Consider the following 10,561-nt stretch of genomic DNA (forward strand, 5'->3'; position numbering starts at 1 on the left):
CTAGAAAAGATGACTTTTCCACATTGGATGATGTGCACGACCTTGACATCATTTCAAATGATTTTGTTTTCTTAGGTGCCCCAGTTGCCCACTTTCAATAATTGCACCTCATCCAAACTGAACCTCTGGCTCCCAGATCTCTACTCTCTCTGCTGATACTATATTTTTTTTTATGGGACAGAGTTTTGTTCTGTTGCCCAGGCTGGAGTGCAGTGGCATGATCTTGGCTCACTACAACCTCTGCCTCCTGGGTTCAAGCAATTCTCCTGCCTCAGCTTCCCGAGTAGTTTGGATTACAGGCACCCAATACCATGCCCTGCTAATTTTTGTATTTTTAGTAGAGATGGGGTTTCACCATGTTGGCCAGGCTGGTCTCGAACTCCAGACCTCAGGTGATTCACCTGCCTCGGCCTCCCAAAGTGCTGGGATTACAGGCATGAGCCACCGCACCTGGCCTCTGCCAGTACATTTTAGTTTTTTGGCATCCTTATGCTAGTGTTCTTACTCCATAATTTGGAATTGGAGAACCTCTAACCCACCAACTCCTTTTCCACTGTCCATAATCACCCTCATGTCCTTAACTTCATTTTCTAGCTTAGAATCCATTATATCTTCAATTCCTTTTTATATAGAACTACTGCTCACATATTCTTTTCTTTGTCAAATTTGCCTGCCAAGTGTCCAACCCTGATTGAACCCAACTCTCTGCCTTTCCTAAACTGCATTTAAAAGCAGGCTGTAATAAGAGAAACTCTCTACTTTGCTGACTTCGCTGAAAAGTAGGGCAGAGGGTCTTCGGCACTGTCTGTCCATCCTAATGACCTACGTTCTGAAATAGTTTTTCACATCTTTTTTTCTCCAAATCCCAAGCCCCCTTGGCCAAGTTAATGACTTCCCCTCTTACTTTCCTAAAAAAGGTAGAATCAGTCAGAAGAGAATCATCTCATCTTTCTACCAGCAAAGCCACTAAACTCTCTGCCTCCTATGTTCATATTCTCTGATTATAATTTCATATTAAGCATGTGGAATGTCCCTGCTTTTATGGACAGCACCCCCTCCACTTGTGGACTTTACGCTATTTTTTCTCACCTATTCATGGACTTGACTCATGAGGTAACCTCTATCTCTCTTTTCCAGCATGAGTTTCTCTAACATCAGCATAGTATTTTCCTTCTTAGCACAGACAAAAATCTACCCTCCCTATTCATTTATTCTTGAATTTTTCTGCTACGCTTTTTGCCACATCTCCTAGAAATATTTGCCTGTACTCACAGTCACCACATCCTCCCCTCACATTTTCTACTAAGTTCACTCTTACTGTGCTTTTGCATTGACACTTTCATTAAAATCGACCTTGTGAAGCTCACCAATGACGTTCGTGTAGTCATAGCCAATGGTCTCTTTTCAGTTGTCATCTTTCTAGAACTCACAATAGCATTTGATGGTTTAATCACTCCCTCCTTCTTGAAATGTTCTTTATTGCCATCTGGCACACACCCTTATGAGCGTCTGAGAAGAGCCTCCAGCACACAGAAGGCTACCATTTTTGTTCTCTTATCTCCCTGGCTCCATCTCAAATGGATTCGCTGGCTCCTCCTCTTCACCAACTCTAAGTTTTGGAGTTCAAGATCATGTATTTGCTTTCCAATCTCTAAATTTTGGAGTTTAAGGTCATGTCATTGGCCTTCTTTTTATTTCTATCTCTACTCACCGCGTAGGTCATATTATTGTCGCATGGCTTTTCATACCATTTATAAACTGATCAATCTCAAATATCTAGCTTTAACCCCCATCTCCACACACCCTGACACATTGAATTCCTGACTCATGTATCTAACTGGCTACTTGACATTTCTCAAACCTAACATATCCAAAACTTAACAAAAAAGGGGCATCTCTTTGGCCTCCCAGTAGGGTTCCCAGCAGTGAGAGTTATCATGAGAACTAAACTTCCACTCTCCTGGAGTTGCCTTTGACTTGTCATAAACCAAAGCTGGCTTCCTACTGAATCAGAACATGCCCCTTATCCATGCGTGGCAAGAGAACTGACTTTCCAAAGACAGAGACTTTTAAACTTTGCACAGCTGAGGACTCTATCTATATTTTTGCAATATTCATGGCTTTCTCAAATGACCACACATTTCATGACCCTCAGACAGAAGTGGAACTACTTACCTCAGAAAAAATGAATAGAGAGCCAATCAATGTGAAGGGAGGTATTAACATGGTGCCAAAAAATAGCCCTAGAAATCCATATTCATTTAGATCAGTAGCAACTATCGAGAAGATGACCACCTAAAACAAATGCACAGTATAGCGTCATTAAAGTGTACCAATCTGAATTTTAGGATGTTTTCTAAGAGGGTGGGAATTCATTTATAAACGTTGTTATTTTCAATTTCACTCCCCAAACCAGTATTTATATCATTTCTTTCCTTTGCAACATGGAATTTCATCACAGTTTTGTATGGGATTTATTATTAATTTCTTAAAAGACACAGTGATGCTTCTCAATCTCAATGGCATACAAATCAGGTGAGACTCTTGCTAAAATTTAGATTCTGATAAAGTGATTATTTATTGTACATTACTCTGCATTTTTCTTTTTTTCATTTCACAATAGTTCATAGACATCCTTTTAGGCTTAGGCAAACCAGCTATTTGTTTTCTTGGCAATTATTTGTTTGAATGGATGTGCAAAATTCAACAACTTTGCCTTCAGAAAACATGTTTTTAATTTTTCTGCTCCTATGAATGATGGTCTACATAGGTCTTTATGTATGGACACTTTTAGTCTGGAAGGAGAGATTCTGAAAAGTGTAACTGCAGGTTAAAATTTATGTGCACTTAAAATTTTAACAGTTGCTAACATTTTGTGTAAAGTTTGTGACATCTATTCTACAAACCATGAATTAGAGTACACGTCACACCACACATCATTGACACAGGAGGTCATATTATTTATTGTAGGCATCGTTGATTTTATTGCTGATATTAAGTAAATAACTTTATAATTTTACCATTTAATATGACATTTACCATTGGTTTGGGTAATTTGTCCCTCTTGTGTTACTATTTTCTTTATATTAGGTCTTTTTAAGGAACTATATGGTCTTTACTTGACTTATATAGTTTTCTTCCTTTAGCTGCTAATACTGAACCATTATTGTGTTCTGAAATAAATCATACTTGACTATTTTTAAATTATTCTTTTTTTCTTCTTCTTTTTGATGGAGTCTTGCCCTGTCACCCAAGTGCTGGAGTGCAATGGCACAATCTCAGCTCACTGCAACCTCCACCTCTCAGGTTCAAGCGATTCTCCTGCCTCAGCCTCCCAAGTAGCTGGGATTACAGGCACATGCCATCACGCCCAGCTAATTTTTGTATTTTTAGTAAAGACGGGGTTTCACCAAGTTGGCTAGGCTGGTCTCGAACTCCTGACCTCAGGTGATCCACCCACCTCGGCCTCCCAAAGTGCTAGGATTACAGGCGTGAGCCATTGAGCTCGGCCAAATTATTCTTTTGCAAACTTATTTCTGTGTTTGCTTTCTTTCTATTTAGAGAGTTGTCTTTAATTTTTCCAAGTGAATTTATCAATGGGTTTTCAAAGCTTTTTAAAGTTTTATTATTAAATTTATGCTTGCTTTACAAAAGGAACTCTTCAACTTTATGAATTTTTTCTATTAAATATTTAAGTATTCTATGATTCCCAAAGTTATTTGATCTTCCTAAATGTTTAAGTGAATTCAGTGGTCCTTATCAGTGCTTTTGCAATTTTTCTTTTCTTGAATTCTTTATTTCCTGGTTGTATTAATTTTAACCCTAAGTGGTTCCTCTTTCATGTGGCTGTAATTTGTTCCTGGGTATTTTTTTTCTTTTTTTTTTTTTTTTGTTAAAAGGATTTTATTATTTATTTATTCATTTTTTGGAGCAGTTTTAGCTTCACAGCAAAATTGAGTGGCAGGTTAAGAGATTTCTCATATACCCACTGCCCTCATACAGGCACAGCCTCCGCCATTATTAACATTCCCCAACAAAGCAGTACATTTGTTAGAATTGATGAGCCTTATTGACACATCTTTAACACCCAGAGTCCATAGTTTACATTAGAGCTTACTCTTGTTGTTGGACATTCTATAGGTTTGGACAAATTTTTAATTATATGTATCCACCATTATAGTATCATACAGGCCTAAAAATCCTCAGTGATCCACCTATTCATCCCTCACTCCCTATGACCCCTGGCAACCATTGATCTTTTCACTGTCTCCATAGTTTCGCCTTTTCCAGAATGTCATTTAGTTGTAATCATACAGTGTGTAGACTTTTCAGATTGGCTTCTTTCACTTAGTAATACGCATTTAAGTTTCCTCCATGTCTTTTCGTGACTTAAGAGCACATTTCTGTTTACCCAAAATAATATTCCATTGTCTGGATGTAACACAGTTTGTCTATTCACCATCTTGGACATCTTGGTTGCTTCCAAGTTTTGACAATTATAATTAAAGCTGCTATAAACATCATTGTGCAGGTTTTTGTGTGGACCAACTAATATTTTTCAGTAGGGCTTTTAAAACGTTTACTTCCACATTTTATATTTGATTATGTCTGACCTTTCCTAGAACTGCAACTTGGTAGATATAATTTTGGAAGAGAGAAATTCCATTTCCTTTCCCTCAGATGTGTGAAAAGTGACACATGGAATTGTAGGAGATAAATCTGAGGCAGTTGGAAGTTTTCTCTTTTATGATTGGTTTTCATTTACTTCTTGGGAGCCTTTATTTGGAAGTTTCATATCATAATGAATATTGATCATTCCATAACAGTTCTTTCTAAATTTAAGAATTTCTTCTATTATATTTTTATACATAGAATTATTTTAAAAGAATTATACATATGTGTAACAATGGATTTGCTACATAAAAAATATTAATTATTCTTTTGTTGGATTGGTTTTGTATTTACATCTTTTCTTATTGTTGTCTTGCTGATTATGGGGATTATCTTAATCCTTTATTTATATATGTAATTAGATTTTCAGCCTTTTTCAGAATTCATTATTAATTCTGAAATTGTGCTGATGGTTAGTGTGTTTATGTGGATCTAAAATTTCTTTTTTTTTTGTATTCAAGATGTTTTATCATTGTGACTCTGAGCTTTTGTCTTATTAAATGTGTATTCTTTTAAAAAATCTATAGAGAATGCTTGAATGGAAGTTTTATTTGTTCTGCATTGTTTTGGAATACTTTATTAATTTCTTTCTTATTGGGAAGTCATGCAGCACCTTTTTATCTTGGACATGTATAACATATGTAGGTCTACTGAGATCTTCTATTTGCTCTGATAAAGTGCTTATTATTTCTGAACAGGCTTTCTTTCTTGGCTGATATTGGTTTATCTTTTTATTATTATTATTATTATTATACTTTAAGTTTTAGGGTACATGTGCACATTGTGCAGGTTAGTTACATACGTATACATGTGCCATGCTGGTGTGCTGCACCCACTAACTCGTCATCTAGCATTAGGTATATCTCCCAATGCTATCCCTTCCCCCTCCCCCCACCCCACAACAGTCCCCAGAGTGTGATGTTCCCCTTCCTGTGTCCATGTGATCTCATTGTTCAATTCCCACCTATGAGTGAGAATATGCGGTGTTTGGTTTTTTGTTCTTGCAATAGTTTACTGAGAATGATGGTTTCCAATTTCATCCATGTCCCTACAAAGGACATGAACTCATCATTTTTTATGGCTGCATAGTATTCCATGGTGTATATGTGCCACATTTTCTTAATCCAGTCTATCATTGTTGGACATTTGGGTTGGTTCCAAGTCTTTGCTATTGTGAATAATGCCGCAATAAACATACGTGTGCATGTGTCTTTATAGCAGCATGATTTATAGTCCTTTGGGTATATACGCAGTAATGGGATGGCTGGGTCAAATGGTATTTCTAGTTCTAGATCCCTGAGGAATCGCCACACTGACTTCCACAATGGTTGAACTCGTTTATAGTCCCACCAACAGTGTAAAAGTGTTCCTGTTTCTCCACATCCTCTCCAGCACCTGTTGTTTCCTGACTTTTTAATGATTGCCATTCTAACTGGTGTGAGATGGTATCTCATTGTGGTTTTGATTTGCATTTCTCTGATGGCCAGTGATGATGAGCATTATTTCATGTGTTTTTTGGCTGCATAAATGTCTTCTTTTGAGAAGTGTCTGTTCATGTCCTTCGCCCACTTTTTGATGGGGTTGTTTGTTTTTTCTCGTAAATTTGTTGGAGTTCATTGTAGATTCTGGATATTAGCCCTTTGTCAGATGAGTAGGTTGCGAAAATTTTCTCCCATGTTGTAGGTTGCCTGTTCACTCTGATGGTAGTTTCTTTTGCTGTGCAGAAGCTCTTTAGTTTAATTAGATCCCATTTGTCAATTTTGGCTTTGGTTGCCATTGCTTTTGGTGTTTTAGACATGAAGTCCTTGCCCATGCCTATGTCCTGAATGGTAATGCCTAGGTTTTCTTCTAGGGTTTTTACGGTTTTAGGTCTAACGTTTAAGTCTTTAATCCATCTTGAATTGATTTTTGTATAAGGTGTAAGGAAGGGATCCAGTTTCAGCTTTCTACATATGGCTAGCCAGTTTTCCCAGCACCATTTATTAAATAGGGAATCCTTTCCCCATTGCTTGTTTTTCTCATGTTTGTCAAAGATCAGATAGTTATAGATAAGCGGCGTTATTTCTGAGGGCTCTGTTCTGTTCCATTGATCTATATCTCTGTTTTGGTACCAGTACCATGCTGTTTTGGTTACTGTAGCCTTGTAGTATAGTTTGAAGTCAGGTAGTGTGATGCCTCCAGCTTTGTTCTTTTGGCTTAGGATTGACTTGGTGATGTGGGCTCTTTTTTGGTTCCATATGAACTTTAAAGTAGTTTTTTCCAATTCTGTGAAGAAAGGCATTGGTAGCTTGATGGGGATGGCATTGAATCTGTAAATTACCTTGGGCAGTATGGCCATTTTCACAATATTGATTCTTCCTACCCATGAGCATGGAATGTTCTTCCATTTGTATCCTCTTTTATTTCCTTGAGCAGTGGTTTGTAGTTCTCCTTGAAGAGGTCCTTCACATCCCTTGTAAGTTGGATTCCTAGGTATTTTATTCTCTTTGAAGCAATTGTGAATGGGAGTTCACTCATGATTTGGCTCTCTGTTTGTCTGTTGTTGTATAGGAATGCTTGTGATTTTTGTACATTAATTTTGTATCCTGAGACTTTGCTGAAGTTGCTTATCAGCTTAAGGAGATTTTGGGCTGAGACAGTGGGTTTTCTAGATATACAATCATGTCATCTGCAAACAGGGACAATTTGACTTCCTCTTTTCCTAACTGAATACCCTTTATTTCCTTCTCCTGCCTAATTGCCCTGGCCAGAACGTCTAACACTATGTTGAATAGGAGTGGTGAGAGAGGGCATCCCTGTCTTGTGCCAGTTTTCAAAGGGAATGCTTCCAGTTTTTGCCCATTCAGTATGATATTGGCTGTGGGTTTGTCATAGATAACTCTTATTATTTTGAATGTCCCATCAATACCTAATTTATTGAGAGTTTTTAGCATGCAAGGTTGTTGAATTTTGTCAAAGGCCTTTTCTGCATCTATTGAGATAATCATGTGGTTTTTGTCTTTGGCTCTGTTTATATGCTGGATTACATTTATTGATTTGCGTATATTGAACCAGCCTTGCATCCCAGGGATGAAGCCCACTTGATCATGGTGGATAAGCTTTTTGATGTGCTGCTGGATTCGGTTTGCCAGTATTTTATTGAGGATTTTTGCATCAATGTGCATCAAGGATATTGGTCTAAAATTCTCTTTTTTGGTTGTGTCTCTGCCCGGCTTTGGTATCAGAATGATGCTGGCCTCATAAAATGAATTAGGGAGGATTCCCTCTTTTTCTATTGATTGGAATAGTTTCAGAAGGAATGGTACCAGTTCCTCCTTGTACCTCTGGTAGAATTCGGCTGTGAATCCATCTGGTCCTGGACTCTTTTTGGTTGGTAAGCTATTGATTATTGCCACAATTTCAGATCCTGTTATTGGTCTATTCAGAGATTCAACTTCTTTCTGGTTTAGTCTTGGGAGAGTGTATGTGTCAAGGAATTTATCCATTTCTTCTAGATTTTCTAGTTTATTTGTGTAGAGGTGTTTGTAGTATTCTCTGATGGTAGTTTGTATTTCTGTGGGATCGGTGGTGATATCCCCTTTATCATTTTTTATTGCATCTATTTGATTCTTCTCTCTTTTTTTCTTTATTAATCTTGCTAGCGGTCTATCAATTTTGTTGATCCTTTCAAAAAACCAGCTCCTGGATTCATTAATTTTTTGAAGGGTTTTTTTGTGTCTCTATTTCCTTCAGTTCTGCTCTGATTTTAGTTATTTCTTGCCTTCTGCTAGCTTTTGAATGTGTTTGCTCTTGCTTTTCTAGTTCTTTTAATTGTGATGTTAGGGTGTCAATTTTGGATCTTTCCTGCTTTCTCTTGTGGGCATTTAGTGCTATAAATTTCCCTCTACACACTGCTTTGAATGCGTCCCAGAGATTCTGGTATGTTGTGTCTTTGTTCTCGTTGGTTTCAAAGAACATCTTTATTTCTGCCTTCATTTCGTTATGTACCCAGTAGTCATTCAGGAGCAGGTTGTTCAGTTTCCATGTAGTTGAGCGGTTTTGAGTGAGATTCTTAATCCTGAGTTCTAGTTTGATTGCACTGTGGTCTGAGAGATAGTTTGTTATAATTTCTGTTCTTTTACATTTGCTGAGGAGAGCTTTACTTCCAATTATGTGGTCAATTTTGGAATAGGTGTGGTGTGGTGCTGAAAAAAATGTATTCTGTTGATTTGGGGTGGAGAGTTCTGTAGATGTCTATTAGGTCCGCTTGGTGCAGGGCTGAGTTCAATTCCTGGGTATCCTTGTTGACTTTCTGTCTCGTTGATCTGTCTAATGTTGACAGTGGGGTGTTAAAGTCTCCCATTATTATTGTGTGGGAGTCTAAGTCTCTTTGTAGGTCACTCAGGACTTGCTTTATGAATCTGGGTGCTCCTGTATTGGGTGCATATATATTTAGGATAGTTAGCTCTTCTTGTTGAATTGATCCCTTTACCATTATGTAATGGCCTTCTTTGTCTCTTTTGATCTTTGTTGGTTTAAAGTCTGTTTTATCAGAGACTAGGATTGCAACCCCTGCCTTTTTTTGTTTTCCATTTGCTTGGTAGATCTTCCTCCATCCTTTTATTTTGAGCCTATGTGGGTCTCTGCATGTGAGATAGGTTTCCTGAATACAGCACACTGATGGGTCTTGACTCTTTATCCAGTTTGCCAGTCTGTGTCTTTTAATTGGAGCATTTAGTCCATTTACATTTAAAGTTAATAGTGTTATGTGTGAATTTGGTCCTGTCATTATGATGTTAGCTGGTTATTTTGCTCGTTAGTTGATGCAGTTTCTTCCTAGTCTCGATGGTCTTTACATTTTGGCATGATTTTGCAGAGGCTGGTACCAGTTGTTCCTTTCCATATTTAGCACTTCCTTCAGGAGCTCTTTTAGGGCAGGCCTGGTGGTGACAAAATCTCTCAGCATTTGCTTGTCTGTAAAGGATTTTATTTCTCCTTCACTTATGAAGCTTAGTTTGGCTGGATATGAAATTCTGGGTTGAAAATTCTTTTCTTTAAGAATGTTGAATATTGGCCCCCACTCTCTTCTGGCTTGTAGGGTTTCTGCCGAGAGATCCACTGTTAGTCTGATGGGCTTCCCTTTGAGGGTAACCCGACCTTTCTCTCTGGCTGCCCTTAACATTTTTTCCTTCATTTCAACTTTGGTGAATCTGACAATTATGTGTCTTGGAGTTGCTCTTCTCGAGGAGTATCTTTGTGGCGTTCTCTGTATTTCCTGAATCTGAACGTTGGCCTGCCTTGCTAGATTGGGGAAATTCTCCTGGATACTATCCTGCAGAGTGTTTTCCAACTTGGTTCCATTCTCCCCATCACTTTCAGGTACACCAATCAGACGTAGATTTGGTCTTTTCACATAGTCCCATATTTCTTGGAGGTTTTGCTGATTTCTTTTTATTCTTTTTTCTCTAAACTTCCCTTCTCGCTTCATTTCATTCATTTCATCTTCCATCGCTGATACCCTTTCTTCCAGTTGATCACGTGGGCTCCTGAGGCTTCTGCATTCTTCACGTAGTTCTCGAGCCTTGGTTTTCAGCTCTATCAGCTCCTTTAAGCACTTCTCTGTATTCGTTATTCTAGTTATACTTTCTTCTAAATTTTTTTCAAAGTTTTCAACTTCTTTGCCTTTGGTTTGCATGTCTTCCCGTAGCTCAGAGTAATTTGATCGTCTGAAGCCTTCTTCTCTCAGCTTGTCAAAGTCATTCTCCATCCAGCTTTGTTCCGTTGCTGGTGAGGAGCTGCACTCCTTTGGAGGAGGAGAGGCGCTCTGATTTTTAGAGTTTCCAGTTTTTCTGTTCTGTTTTTTCCCCATCTTTGTGGTTTTATCTACTTTTGGTCTTTGATGATGGTGATG

At 38.0% G+C, this 10,561-nt stretch overlaps 1 protein-coding gene across 11 annotated transcripts in view; it reads right to left on the reverse strand.

Annotated features, from left to right (window-relative positions):
• Positions 1-10,561, reverse strand: part of ABCA9 (ATP binding cassette subfamily A member 9) — a 104,490-nt gene that overhangs the window by 19,232 nt on the left and 74,697 nt on the right. For all 11 annotated transcript variants that reach the window (XR_007065256.1, XM_017024011.2, NM_080283.4 and 8 more), the window contains one exon: positions 2,176-2,295. Coding sequence is in view for 10 of the 11 variants with exons in the window: in XM_017024011.2 (XP_016879500.1) it covers positions 2,176-2,295 (120 nt within the window). In the remaining variant the exon portion in view is untranslated. The remainder of the gene's footprint in view (positions 1-2,175; positions 2,296-10,561) is intronic.

The sequence above is a fragment of the Homo sapiens genome, chromosome 17, assembly GCF_000001405.40.
Source record: "Homo sapiens chromosome 17, GRCh38.p14 Primary Assembly".
Taxonomy (NCBI): domain Eukaryota; kingdom Metazoa; phylum Chordata; class Mammalia; order Primates; family Hominidae; genus Homo; species Homo sapiens.